Here is a 15,440-nt window from a genome sequence, read left to right as displayed (position 1 = left end):
TCTCTCCAGTTTACCCCTCATGAGCAGTGCGGTCTTGTCAGTCTGAATCCCTGTAAGCTCCTGGAGTATCCCATGGCCATCTGCCTCCCTGCCTTTGCACTGCTGCTCTTTCTACCCTGACTCTGCTCTCCATGTCTACCCTCTTGCCATCCCAGTTCTGAGAAATCCAGAGCCTTACCTTCTCTATGAAATATTCTGCAACTTGATAGACACTTCCTCCTGTGTGCAGCCACCTCACTTCACACAGACTCTAATGACAGCACACATCATGTTGAGCCATAGTCTTTCTCCAGGCTTGTACCCCTTCAGGCTAGGAGCCCTGATAATAAAAACTAAACTTGTTCTTTGTGTCTTAGTGCCTGGCACAGAGAAAGTGCTCAATAAATATTCATTGAGTAGAAACATGGATTTTCTACCCTTTGAAAACAGAAATGTTCTCTAGCTTATATGCTGAGTCATGATAGCAGAAATGTGTCCTCCCTGTGATTTGTCTGCAAGCTCCATGAAAATGACCTGTTAACACAAAATTGTGGATGGGCCTCCAGACAGACTTTTGTTATATTTGTTTGCTTGTTTTTACTTTGGAGACTGCAGGGATTTCCTTTCTTTATGCATGATCTAGACCAAGGTCACCAGCTTTTGGTGACCACCTATCAGCTGGGGCAAACACAGGCTAGTTTTAACATCTTTACATTGAATGAATTGAATTTCAGCAGGTATTTAAGAGAGAGAGAGAGAGAGAATGTTAAAATGATAATTATTTATTTACATTTCAAAGCTAGGTTTCAGTGTGTTTTAGGTTGAGCCACTGTTAGGGACCTACAAAAGTTTCGCACCTACACAGTTTCCCAAGTTGTCTTTGGTGGGCTCTGCTGAGGGCACCCAATGCTCCAGAAGGCTCATCTAACATCTACAAAACCATTCCTAATTAGAGTGTGGTCCAACCATATGGTATTTGAAAGCTATCATATGTCAAAACAGAATGTGTATGCCCCAAAACCATCAAACTGTGTCTAAGAAGATACTTGCTTGAAGTAGGAAAGCCATATTCTCCTGAGTATTTTGCTTATGGAAATGAGACATAATTCAATCCAAAAAGAGGAAAGAGCTTCTGTTTTCTAGCCACTGAATCACAACCTGCAGACCTGGTGAATGACTCAATTTCTCCATCCATAAAATCAGTTCTAATCATATCAGCAGGCTCCCCACGGTGCTGTGAATTCTAATGAAAGAATAACATTTGTGAAGAATGCTGTACTTCCTGGGAGAAAAATATGCCATTTTTCTTTTTTTTTTTTTTCCTTAGATGCAACATCTGTCTTTGTCAGTCCCTTAAACTTACTGCTTCTAGGATGGGAGGGACTATAGTGGTCACACCAGAAGGAAGCCGAGCTGAGCAAGGACGCCAACGAATGTCTGAAATCCCAAATGCCCTGTATTGGGGTTTCTCAGGGTGGGGCCATGGAGAGAAAGAGAGACAATGCAGGAGGGCAAGCAGCTTCTCTTCCATCACTTTGTGGTTGAAGGTGGATATGGGCATGGGTGGTGGGGAGTGGGAAGGAGATTTTCCGAAGGACAACATCAGGTTCTCTGGTTCTTTCCTTTCACAGACCCAGTCCCAACATTTGTGGGATCCAGGGCAAGAGTACACACAAAGGCCCACACAAAGCATGTCTAAATATGTAACTTACAAATTAAGATGTGCCCATGGCTTAGCCTGCGCTCCATCCTGGGCCCTGCAGCCCACTCCCAGGGTAACCCTCTGCAGACCCAAGACTAATGGGACAAGGGATCTGCTGGGGCAGTGTAGGCCAAAGCTGCGGCTGGGTCCACCAGAGGCCAAGATGGAGACTGACCTGGACATGCTTCCTGGGCAGCTTTGGTGGCAGTCTCCCTTCTCTATGCCTCACTTTTCTGGCAGAATTTTCAGGCATTTCCAAGCGGAAGGGAGGGAGAGAACTCAGGCATCACTTTGAATGTTCTGCCAGTGACCAGCTTTAAACAAAGACAGACACTCTGATTCTGTAGAGCCAAGGTGGTGATTCATTCCTTCCTATCCTCACTCCTGTGCCTGCAGGTCACACACACTGGCCTGGGAGACCAGTTTACTCCCTGTATCCTTCTCTTGTTTGCTCAATCATTCACTGAAATTAAAAAAAAAAAAAATTCTCATGGGACTAAAAAGATAAAAAGTCTTTGAGTTTGGGTGTTTGTAAAATTCAGACATCTGTTGCCTAGTCGAGGGGTGGCATACCCTTCTACCCACCTCCTATAAGCACAAACTGCTATCAAGTCATTTCTCAAACCCTGCAGCCCCTGGCAAAAATCAGAATTTTACAAAGCCCAAATATTGCCTTGTTTTGATTTGGAACCTCTTCCTTCAGAGGATCTTTTCTAGGCTTAGAATTGCCCAAATGACTGAGGCTGCTCTTGTAGCCTAATGCTCTTGTAGCCACTTGTCCACTTCTTTTCCTGATGTCTCTACCTCAGCTAATTGCACCATCCATGACTCCTTGTTCCCCAGAGAGCTGGAGCCCTTTAAGTGGTCAGCTCCATGGCACTTTGCCTTTGAAAGGACAGTTCTCAGTGGCATCCCAGGCTAATGCATCCTGGCCTTCTTTTCGGTGAATCAGTAGGCAATTTGACTGATTATAGGATAATGTTCATGAAATGCAACCAGGCTTTGTATTCATGTTGGCTTCACTGCCAGAGTTCATTGCTGACCATCCAGGGAACGGGGAAGGGGACAGAGATGGTTCCAGTGCAAACACATCTCCACAACTGGGAAAACAGCTCAAACTTAGAGGGTGTTTCCTCTGATGGGGGAGAGGAAACCAGGGGCTTTCTGAGAAGGCAAATAATCTGTAATATTGATGTGCCTCTTTCTCTTCTCTCTGCCACCATTTTCTTCTAAGGGTTTTCACCGAAGATGCCAGTCAGCATGAATGGGTATACTTCATGGTTTCTTTTATTTATTTCTATTTACTATTAAAAATGAAATACAACTTGCATGCAGTAAAATGCACACGTCTTAATTGTACAAAACAATGAATTTTTACATGTGTATACCTGTGCTACCGCCAGCAAGATCAAGATACAGAACCTTTTCAGCACCCCGGAACACCCCCTCATGTCCTCTCAACACTTAACTCTCCAAAGATAATGCTTATTGTGATGGAACATTATGACTTTACACAACAGATTAGGTTTTTCTGTATCTGAACTTCATATAAATGGAATTATGCAATATATTCTCTTTTGCCTCAATTCTTTCACTCACTGTGAGACTCACCTCTGTTGCTATGTGTATTACTAACTCATCATTTATCATTATAAATTGTACTTGGTTGTATGAATATATCTCAATTTTTTCCCATTCTACAAATGATGAGCATTTAGGCTGTTTTTGGTTCAGGGTTATTACAAACAAAGCTGCTTGCTTCATGGCTTCTTAGTAACTCTTTTCTAATGCTTATTACATGCCATATTCTGGGTATTTTATGTGTAATAAGTCACCTAATCTTTACAATAAACCTATGGGAAATATTATATCTCCATCTTACAAGAGCAAATTGAGGCACAAAGAGGTTAAATAACATCCCAAGATACACAGTTAGAAAGTAGGACACCTTGGACTAAGTAGTAGTATACCTTGAATTATCTCTTGCCCTCTTAAACACCAAGCCATACAGCTACCCGCAATGGTTAAAACTATAGGTCAAACCACTTATTAGCTTTGTGATCTTGGACAAGTTCATTAATCATTCTGCTTCCTCATCTACTAACATGAAATAACAGCAATATCTCCATTCAAAGGGATATTTTAAGAATTAAATAAATAATCCATCTAAGGCAGATACGATTGCTTGGCTAATCCAACAGCCACTTCCAATCCATTTCCAAGCTAAAGGCTCTTTTGTAGCCTTCTTTGCAACTAAGGGCATCTATGTGCCGCAGTTCTGTGAAATGAGATTGATGGAACATACGCTATGAGACATCTGAAAAAGTGTTTGCCTCTTTATAAAAGCAATATATAAGAAAGGGAACTCTCTTGGTGACTATTCTTTCCTCCTCCTTCCTGTCCTTAACGCAACTGTGTCTAGCACAGTGGCAGCCATCCTGTGAAGCCAAGGATGCCAGTAAACCCACTAAGAATGATGAGAGTGAAAGGCAGAAGGAGACTTTCTCCTTGATGATATTGTTGATCCACCAGGCCAGGCCTAGGATGCCTATCTCCAGACTTCCTGTTAAATAAACACTATATACCTTGTGAGCTAAGGCATGGTTCATCAGGTTTCCCATAACTTGCAATATAAATAAATGATAGGCCACGTAAAGAGCTAATCACAATGCCTAACACAAAGAGCTCAATCAATATGAGGCTACTATGTTAACCTCTGTCTAATTGGAACCTGGGCCCAAAGGCTCTCAACTCTTGTAACTGCTAATGATTTTCTAAAAGTGCTTTGCAGCCGCTATCAGAGAAAGATGATTACTCCTCATGGCATCAGCTCTGAGCGTCAGGAATGGAGTGCTTCCCACATCCTTCAACAAAGCAAGAGGCAGCTGGACCTGTCAGTGTCCCAGAGGTACTCTCCAAGCTGATGCCCAGGAAAGCCAAGCTGCTGCACACACCCACAGATGCATCCAGGAAAAAAAAAGACAAAAACCCAGATAAATATGATTGTGTTTTTCCACCTTATTAAAAAAAAGTCCAGAAACTTCTGGGGCAGTTTTCAAAATGAGTCATGATACGACACGCATCAGGCTGAATGGCTCCCGGAGGCTGAAGAAGCAGAGGAAGCAGCACTCAACAACAATCAGGGACCCACACTTTGTTTTTAGAAAACCTGGCCTGCCTTTATCAGTGCTTTGAGGTATAAGCTAGCACATATTCATTAGAATGGCATTCTATCATACCATTTATTTTATGCGTTGCTTAGTTTACTTCTTAAATATCTTTTAGATTTTTATTTGTTTAAGTTCAATTCAACAACTATGTATAGAGTGCCTGCTGTGTGCAAGGAACCCAGGTATCTAAATTATATGGAGGAAGGCATACTGGAAAAACATATACATTTGTTTTATTAATATATTTCATACAACCTTTCCATTGACTGTTGCAATTTGGTCCTATTTACACCTCATGGATTTTAATGCTTAATGTCTCCTGCACCTGACCTCTCTGAATAAAGGTCTCTGATAGCGGAATAGTCATGTTTTCTCTTCTACCACCTATTCTCCCCACAGATGGTCTGTTTTGTCAAGCATGCTGAAAGGAAAGGACTGGTAAGTAATTAAGTAATGCACCAATGTAAGGTTTTAATTAATTATGATATCTGCCTTTCAGCTCCTTTTCTGCCTCCTAAACTGTCTTCTAAATAGCAGCTTTTAAAACTTACAGTGTTGGGATGAAGTTCTTAGAATCTGAGGATCATTGTCCTTTACAGACATCTAAATGAGAATGAAGTTGGTTGCTCCCTTGAGTGTACCAGGCTGGATGTACTGAGGCAGAGTTTGGATCTCTGAAGTCTCCATCTGGCTTTGTGGGTCTTTAGGTAAGCTGCCTCTCGTCTATGAGACCCAGTACCTCTGACAATTAACGCTCTTTCCCGTCAGGGACACTCTATGTTGTGTGGTCATTTTTAAAACTAGGATTGGGTGGAGGAAGGAGGCTGTTGATGGAACCACAATGTAGACAGGACCTAACTTATCACCAGAGACTCCAGGAGAGCCTTCGGGTTTTATTTTCTTATGGAATGTTTCCTAAGTCCTGATATATTGTCAAAGATAGGCAGGCAATCCGAGGGGAGTAGGAACTGTGTATTCATTCTTTCCCTGAATAAAGAAAGGGGGCTAGAGAAGGGAAGTCAATTATTGGGAGATTAGTGTAACACATGCATGCTTGTAGCTCACACCAAAATATGAATAGCATAAAGCTAAGCTGGGATAAATCTTATTTCCAGTTCAGATGTTATTAAGGTAACCTATTAATTTTGTAGGAATGAATACCCTCTGCAAAAAGTGTTCCTCATAATGAACTAAATCAGTTGAAATCAATGTGGGGAGCCATGCTTTATGTAAGAGATGTTGTGGGTAATGAATTTTAATTAAATACTTTAAGTAACAAGGGAAACTGGATGTTTGAAGAAACTCCATGGTGAATCCTCATTTTGTATAATTAATTACCTTCCAATTTGTCTCTTGTGCAAGAAGCTTTTAGACTTTTAATTTGCCTAAAAGTCCAGACTCTCCTATGCTTTTGTTACCTAACACATTCACTATTCCAGAAAGAGGCAGCTTGCTTTAACTACAGAGTTTGCATCTCTGCTGAAAATAACATAAATCACTACTTGGGTACACACAGCCACATAAACACCATCTTCGGTGCTTCATTTGTTAACCAACCTCCAACTGCTGCAACTGTCAGTATCTCTCAAATGCCTGCAGCATGGCCACCTCTGCTAAAGACAGTGTTTGCAATGCCAACTGGGGAGTTGTCATTGGCACTGTGATTGGAGTACAGCATATTCTGATGAAAATCTGTGGGAACTATTAAAATGCTACTCTGCAACCATTGCTGACAGATGCTATTAAACACATCAATCTGGAAGGACAGAATCTGGCGACATGAGCTAACTTGGGTGAATTGCGGAAGCTGTATAAAAATTGGCTCTGTTAAGCTCAACTCAAAGAATAATTTTACGTTTGGTGCACTTATTTAGAATAAATCTATATGCGTCGCTGCTTAGAAAAAATATTCAAAAAATAACTCTGCCCATTTTAAACCTTATAAACCACTTTTTAATATATTCCTATGTTCCCTCTGGCAGTGCTGGGATTATGCAGTGACACCCCAAATATACACATGCTTCATCGGAGGCAGAGTCACCTCTGCTGCATGGCTTTATTTTAAAGGTGAGTCTCAAATCTGAATATCCAGCTTTATGTTCTCTCCTGCATTCCAGTCCTCTGTCTTTTGGGCTTTACATTCAAAGTCAGTAAGTCTAACATATCTGGATTATCTTTCCCTCATTACACCAGCTCCCTTATTTCTGTCATTATCCTACACCTTATCCAAGTTCTAATTCAATGTCAAGCAGCTCACAAGAGGCAGAGCTGGGATTTGGGCTCAGATATGTCTGAAGATTCCAGTAATCCCTCAGGTCTTTTTGAAGGAGGATCCTACTCCTATAAACATGATGCCCATTAAGGAAAGCACTTCATTTTCAGTGGGCTGAAATATTATCCACACATATACCCTTCTAAATGATCCATCAGAGAGAGAGAACTTTTTCTGTCCAGCCAAATGTGCACATTCTTCATATAGCTACTCAGAAGGAAATGGGTGTGTCATTCTTCAGACCATAGGATAGATGCCAACATGTCCCTTGGTAGAAACTACCTGCCAGCCAGACTATGGATACACCTTCTCTCTAGCTCAGAGGCTGCTTTTAACACGACAGGTTCCCATCTCACCCTAAAGGCACTTATCAGCTGTGAGTCAGGTCTCTGCAGGAGGAAGCACAAGCATGTCAGCCTGGTGTAGCTAGGGGGCTGTAATTGCATTCACTAGTCTTCATCCAGAAAATCTACCTTTTATTAAGTCCTTATCAAATAGTCATATATAGAAAAGCCAAAATTATTTTTTGAAAAATCAGAAATAGCATTTCTATTTGCTATGTAATTGAATCAAAAGCGTTTCAGCTTTGGCTCTTCTCTCTGGAATCCACCCTTTTGTTCACTAGCTAAGCAAGTATGAGCACCATATAAAAACTACAAGCAAACTTTCTGAAAAATGTAGAGAAAATTAATTCTCCTTTCTATGTGTGACTGTACACACAATCTGGAAAGGAGTGGGTCTGGTAATAATTTTGATTTCTGTTTCACTGTAATAAAACAATCAATCTACATAAAAACTACAGAGCAAAGGGAGAACAGCAAAATTCCCTAAGAGAAGAGTGGTAAAATCTCCAGGAATTAGCAAGTCTGAATCTCCAGGCTCATTCTCAAATGAGCCCCAGCTCCCATCATTCCAGCTGCACACAGGGCATTCATTTCTTCTTGGATGACATTTTATCACCAAATTCAATAGGTCAATCTACACTAAGCAACTCCCCACTGCCCACTTCCAAAATAATTTTCCTAAATGCTCCCTGATTCTGCCAATAGCACCGGTCAGGTTTAATGTATTTGAAGAAAGTTTGATTTGTTCCTCGCTTTTCTTTTCTATGTCCTGTCAAACTCAATCCTCATTTATTCTTCAATTTAAAAAATTATTTAGAGCCCACTAGGTACCAGGTACCATGCTAATTGTTGGGAATAAAATAATGCACAGAGTCACTGCCCTCACAGCACCAATATTCAGTGGAGTGAGCTGCTACAGAGCATGAAGTTAGAATGTGGTATAATTAGTGACAACACAGGGGCCTGTACAAGGACATTGGGGGGCAGGCCTACAACAGATGTGTGTCACGGTGTCAGAGTAGACTTTCAAAGGGAAGTGACCTCTCAGATTGGATGGGAAAGATGAGTAAGAGTCAGTCCAGGAAGAATAGTGGTGTGGATGGAAGGGGGAATAATATTTCCAACTTTAAAAGCATTATGTCAAAAATCCCAGACATGAGAGCCTTATGTCTGGGACTTAGGATGCAAAATGGAGAGGGATGAGAGACAAGGCTAAAAAAATCATCCAGGACCAAATCATGTAGGGCCTTGTAAGACACGTGTGAGCTCTGAACTTTATCCCAGTGATTTTGAACCAAGGGGTGATGTGATCAGCTGATGCTTTTGGAAGATCGCTCTGGTGAGGGCAGACAACTGATTGATGGAAGAGGACACATCTGGAGGCAGGAAAAGCTGCTAGGGGCTGCCGCGGAGAGGACACTGTTCTGGCCTAAGGTAGTAGCCATGGAGAAAAGTGAATGCACTCAGGATCTCTCTTGGCCTTGGCTTCTTCTTTAATGGCACTCTGAGTACTTCTCATAGGACCCATACAGAGTGAATGAATGCTTAAGAGGGCACAGAGCATGTGTGAAACTCTGGAGCCAGACTACCCCGTTCAAACCCTGACTGGGCTCCTCACTAGCTCTCTCTTGTGTCTCAGTTTTCTCAAAAGTAAAGTAGGGACAATAATGATATACATTCCATAGTAAATACTCAGTAAAGGGACAGTTAATACATGTAAACACTTAGAACAGTGCCAGGCACATGAAAATACTCAATAAATGTTAATTAGTAGTAAATGTGTTCAGGATTGTACCGTCATTTCCTTTGTCCACAATCTCATCACATCTCACTCAATCTACCCCATGATGGCCTCTTAAATCGCCTTTCTGCCTATTTGTACTCTGCCTAATTCTACTCTGCACATGACTTCTAGATGGATCTTAAAGACATCTTTCATAATGTCACTCTCTTTTTTCAAATCTTATAAGGCTCCCAATTAAGCCCCAAATCCTTAATCCAACAATGCAAACACTTCCCCAGCCTGGTCATATTTAATCTTCTCTAAGTGTATTTCACTTTACAGTTATATCCCAGGGTATGGCCTTTAGTTGACAAAAATTTAAATTTGCGAGGAGTTTTATATAATATCTGCTTTGGCCTATGATGCATGCACTTACATTTATGAGAGCTGTTTTGGATTGTTTGTACCTCCAAGTAGCTGAGCGCCAGGAAACAACAGCCCTTATGAGGTCATCTTCCCAGTTTTGAAGTGTTCCCAGAATTTTTGGTTTTTAAGCTTATTGTAGTGACAATCTTATGCATCATTTACATTGCCATTTATTTATTTATTTATTTATTTATTTATTTATTTATATTTTTTGAGACAGAGTCTTGCTCTGTCACCCAGGCTGGAGTGCACTGGTGTGATCTCAGCTCATTGCAACCTTTGCTTCCTGGGTTCAAGCAATTCTCCTGCCTCAGGACTGTAGGCATATGCCACCACACTTGGCTAATGTTTGTATTTTTAGTAGAGACAGGGTTTCACTATGTTGCCCAAGCTGGTCTTGAAATACTGACCTCAAGTTATCCACCTGCCTCGGCCTTCCAAAGTGCTGGGATTACAAGTGTGAGTCACCATGCCTGGCCAGCATTGTTTTTTAATTGATTTATTTAGCCTTTTGTGGCCTAAAAAAGGACAGCAAAGGTTTAAGTTTATGGTATGCAGTAGCCGTAAATGAGCTGAGCAAAGACATTCAGCCTTATTACAGAATAATTAATGAAGGGAAATTGCCTGGGAAGGCCATGCCATGACGATGAATGTCATCTGCTGAAGCAACAGTGTCCATTTTAAGGCAATTTGGTGTTGTTTTAGTATAAGTGGCTTAATTTGGGGGCTCAGGATGCATCAACATCTCTTGAAACTAATAGTAATTATGTTTTTGATTTTTAGGAATTTGTCTCTTGGGAGTTTTCAGGAAAAAATTACCCTTGCAAGCTGGTTTTCTTCAAAAGGCATTCTTTGCTCAATGTTCTTTCCTTCTACACATCACACGAATTCCTACTTCTTGGCCTTGGTAGTCTACTGTACTCCACTTTAATTCCTTCCCTATATTTCTTCTGCCATTTTATCACAGCCTGATTCTGTTGCTGGGTCCTCTGTGAAGTCTTTTGTAATAATTACACCTACATCAACCTTTCTCTTTTGTAAACTTCTATTGTCTGTTCCTTAGACTTTTATTTATATTTTTTGAGGTATAATTGATGTATAATAAAGTACCTATTTAAAGTGTACAAAATGGATGAGATTTGACATATGTACCTACCTATGAAAACATCACCACAATCAATAATGAACAGACCCATCACCTACAAAGGTTTTCTCATACCCCTTTGCAAATCCACTCTTCATGCCTAGCCCTGTCTCAGACAACCAGTTATCTGCTTTCTGTCATCAAAAATTAAAAATGGTCATACATTTCACTTCTTCATTTGTTATAAAATCATAATCCATTGTTATTCTTTTTACCTGAAACACTCAATTATCTTTTAAAGACATGTAAAAAATAAGGGAAAATATTTTATTTTGATCCTCATATATACTTTCATTTCACTTCTCCTGATGTATCAGTTATACATGGCTGCATAACAAATTATCCCAAATCTTAGTAGCTTAAAACAACATTTATTATTTCACAGATTTTGTGGGTCAGGAATTTGAACTGGGAGCAGTTCAGCTGGATCCTCTCTTGGGGCCTTGCACAAAGCTGCAAACAAGGTGTAGCCAGGGCTTCAGTCATCTTTAGGCTCAATTGGGGAAGAAACTGCTACTAAGCTCATTCATACAGTGGTTGGCAGAATTCAGGCCCTGGTGATCTTTGAATGGAAGACCTCAGTTTCTTCATGGCTACTGGCCAGAGGCTACCCTCAGTTCTTTGCCACATGGGCTTCCATACAGGGCAGTACACAAAATGGTAGATTGCTTCATCCAAGCAAGCAAGCAGGAAGAAACAGGGAAAGAGTTTAAGCAAAATGAAAGTCACAGTCTTTTATAACCTAATCTCAGAACTGATATCTTAACACTCTTGGCATATTCTATTCATAAGAAATAAGTCTCTAGTCTATTTTACATACAAGGGAAGAGGATTACATCAGGAGGTGGGGATAATTAGAAGCTATTTAGAAGCTGTCTGCTACTTTGTTTTATTTGTATATATGTTATAATGCTCATAACACACTATTATTATTTTTATTTTAAAAAGATACTTTCTGGAGCACTTCACTCCTTTGTTTAGATCCAGATTTTCATCTGGCGTCACTTTCCTTCTACCTGAAGAATTTCTTGCATTGCTTATCTGATAACTGCATTCTTTCAGATTGTGTATGTCTGAAAGAGACTTTGCCTTTGTTTTTAAAAATATATTCTTGCTGGGTATAGAATTCTAAATTGAATGTTTGTTTTCTTTCAGTACTTTAAAGCTGCTTCTTCACTTTCTTCTCACTTGCACTGTTTCCATTGAGAACTCTGCTGTTATTTTTATCTTTGTTGCTCTATACTAATTGTGGTTTTATTTTCCCTCTGGCTGATGTAAAGACTTCTCCTGCCCCATTGGCCTTAAAAAATTTCATTAAGATGTGCCTTGATGCAGTTTTCTTCATGTTTCTTTTATTTGAATTTGTTGAGTTTCTTGGATTTCTAAATTTATAGTTTTCATCAAATTTGAAAAAATGTAAGCCGTTAGGTCTTCAAATATTTTTTCTGCACTGCCCCTTTCTTTGAGGACATGTGTACTAAGCCTCTAGAAGTTGTCCAACAACTCATTGCTGCTCTGTTATTTTGTTTATTTTTTGTTTTATTTTCTTCGTTTTATTTTGAAAACGTTCTATTACTTTGCCTTCAAATTTACTCATTTTTTATTAGGTGAGAGACATTGTGACGATGCTGCTGGATGTTATGCCCACCTAATGAAGTATCCATAAAAACCCAAAAGGAACAGGTTTGAGGACCTTCCTGATAGCTGAACACGGGGAGGTCCCTGGAGGGTGGCTGCCAGAGAGGGAATGGAAACTCCACATCCCTTCCTACACACCTTGCCCTATTCATCTCTTTATTTGGCTGTTCATCTGTATCCTTTGTAATATCCTTGAATATAAGCTGGTAAATGCAAGTGTTTTCCTGGATTCTGTGGGCAGCTCTAGCAAATTAATTGAACACAAGGAGCAGGTCTGGGAATCTTGATTTATAGCCAGTGGGTCAGAAGTATAAATAGCAACTTAGTTCCTGGGATTGTTTTTTTGTTTTTGCATTACTTTTACTGTTCTTGAACTTTGTTCTGGGACATGTGTAAGTTACTTAGAAACATTTTGATTCTCTCAGCTTGCAGTTAAGTTTTGTTATGTGGGGACCACAGCAGCTTTCATTAATTTGGCCCCTCTACTTATGCAATACCCTTTTGAGCACTCAACCTAATGCCCCATGTATTACAAGGGTTCTTTCCTCTGGCTGCTGGAAACGTGAATTATTTCCAGTCTTGAATTACTGTGAGGAATTGTTCTGTTAATTTCTTTCTGGTGATGTTTCTACATAAGTATGCGCTCATCAGTACTCAGCTTTGGACTTGAAAGGAATCCTCTTCAGGTTCTGGAGCTCTCTCTCTCTCTGCATCTCTGGTACTCTGCCTCAGGAATCTTAGGTGCTTTAGCCTACCTTAACATTCTCAACTGTGCCTCTCAACTCAGGAAGTTTGCCTGGCTCTGCCTAGGTTCCTTTTCCCTCAACGCTAGCCTGGAAACTCTGTCTAGGTGTCAAGCTGAGGCAATTGTAGGACTCACTTTGTTCTTCTTGTTAGAAATTACTGCCTATTGACCAATATTGGAAAACCATTGATTCATATATTTTGTGATTTATTTTTTGTTTAGTTGTTTAAGGTAGAAAGTTGAATCTGGTTTCCATTACTCCATCATGTTCAGAGGTGGAAATATTTCCCATTTGCTTTAATAACCTGTGACACAATTTAGCCCCCAAACTTTTTATATATCCTTTATGCTCAAGAAAAAGTGCTTCTGCAGGGCGGAACCCATGTTATCTGACTTCTTTTACACCTAATACAGTGCTATGCACATGTTGAAAATATATATTACTCTTTACTTGGTCTCTTGGAAAAGTTGGCTGTGAAGTCTGTTTCCTTTGCTTCAAAAATACTGCATCCTTTTGGTCTTTCTCTTATCTCTGTCTTCTTCACATCTAGCTCCTCTTACCATTCCATAAATATGACAGTACACCTTTGAAATGTCATCCAATCTGATGGCTTCAGCTATTATCTTTGTCAAATACTGACTGGCAACTTTATAACACTGGAGGGCCTCCAACTGGCATTTATGCGCCAAATACAGTGTTTTAAAGGTGAACTCAAGTGAAAAATTTTGCCATCTGGCAAAATTAGTCTGATTATCCTAATTTACTATGCTTGGTTGACACCCATTATTTTTGCCAACTCCCTATTTTCTGATCCTCACATCCCACTCTCTGCTGGGATTTTTGGTGTCTTCCCAACTCAGCCAGTAGCAATTATGACTTTCCAAGACTTTCCCTGGATGGTCCTAAGTTCTCGTCTCTTGGATCACAGACAGAGCCTGAAGTCCATTTGCTGTTTCTGGTACTGTGCCTGCATATCTAAGTTTCATCTCTGGCCAGCTCTGTGTTGTGCTGAAGCCAACAGTATTTTGGAGGAGCTCACTAATCCCTATTTACATTGCAGCTGCAAAACTTTTCCTCCTTCCAGCTGGAAACATTGATATTGTAGATGAAGATATCCATGAGATTACTATCTAATAGGTGAAAGTCAGTCCTTCAAGGACCTACTGCAGTTGCTCCCAGGCCTTGCTTGCTTGAATTAATAACCCTGTGCAATGGATGTACTACAGATTTCCATGTGCATACTCTGCTCTCATTTCAAGCCTAGTATATCCAAAATGCATCTTCCCTGCCAATCTGATCCTTCCCCTGTGATCCTTATTTTCATTAATGGTGCCTTTCATCTCCTAAACAGGTAACTGTGAAGCTCAGGAATCATCTATGATGCCTTAGTCTCTTACTATTACTTGATATGTCCTCTAGTTCCATAAGTTTTACATGGAAATGTCTCTTGTATGTTACAGTTTCTAACCTTCCAGTGTTTCTCATATTCATATTTTTTCTACATTTCCATGATCACTCCCTTGCTACAAGGCCTCATTCCTGATGAGGCCACCAATACAATCCACACAGCATTGCTAGGTGAATTCCTCTGTGATATTGTGATATATATACTTGGTCTTTATCCCATTTTCTGACATACATCTCCTAAAACACTTTGAATCTCTAGAGTGATAATAGTGTCTTTTGTGTGCTCACGAGATGACTGGTGGCTGGCAACTCTAGATAGCAGTCAGGATGGGGACTGGTTACCAAAAGACCAAGGCAGGATTAGAGGGTTGGGATTTTCAGCCCTACTCTAAAACTTCTACAGAGGGTAGAAGGGCTGGAGGTGGAGTTGATCATCAGTGGCCAATGATTTAATCAATTATGCCTACCTAATGAAGTATCCATAAAAACTCAAAAGGAACAGGTTTGAGGACCTTCCTGATAGCTGAACACAGGGAGGTCCCTGGAGGGTGGCTGCCAGAGAGGGCATGGAAACTCCACATCCCTTCCTACATACCTTGCCCTATTCGTCTCTTTATTTGGCTGTTCATCTGTATCCTTTGTAATATCCTTGAACATAAGCTGGTAAATGTAAGTGTTTTCCTGGATTCTGTGGGCAGCTCTAGCAAATTAATTGAACACAAGGAGGGGATATGGGAATCTTGATTTATAGCCAGTGGGTCAGAAGTATAAATAGCAACTTAGTTCCTGGGATTGCTGTCTGAAGTAGGGGCAGTCTTGTGGGACTGAGCCCTTAAGCTGTGGGATCTGACACTATCTTCAGGTAGATAGTATAAGAATTAAATTGAAT

The 15,440-nt window shown here is 40.3% G+C and overlaps 1 protein-coding gene across 2 annotated transcripts in view, besides 1 other annotated feature; it reads right to left on the bottom strand.

The window, feature by feature from the left end:
• PARM1 (prostate androgen-regulated mucin-like protein 1) overlaps positions 1-15,440 on the bottom strand; it is a 116,998-nt gene that overhangs the window by 45,492 nt on the left and 56,066 nt on the right. The window lies entirely within an intron of this gene.
• Positions 12,751-13,252: an enhancer, noted in NCBI's record as "NANOG hESC enhancer chr4:75916580-75917081 (GRCh37/hg19 assembly coordinates)". NCBI's record gives its function as "activates a minimal SCP1, AML or CMV promoter by ChIP-STARR-seq in naive H9 embryonic stem cells {active_cell/tissue: H9 hESC(naive)}" and the evidence as "EXISTENCE:reporter gene assay evidence [ECO:0000049][PMID:30033119]".

This window comes from Homo sapiens, chromosome 4 (genome assembly GCF_000001405.40).
Source record: "Homo sapiens chromosome 4, GRCh38.p14 Primary Assembly".
Classification (NCBI taxonomy): domain Eukaryota; kingdom Metazoa; phylum Chordata; class Mammalia; order Primates; family Hominidae; genus Homo; species Homo sapiens.
The sequence above is the reverse complement of the archived record's forward strand: the minus strand, read 5'-3'. Positions and strand labels throughout refer to the sequence as shown.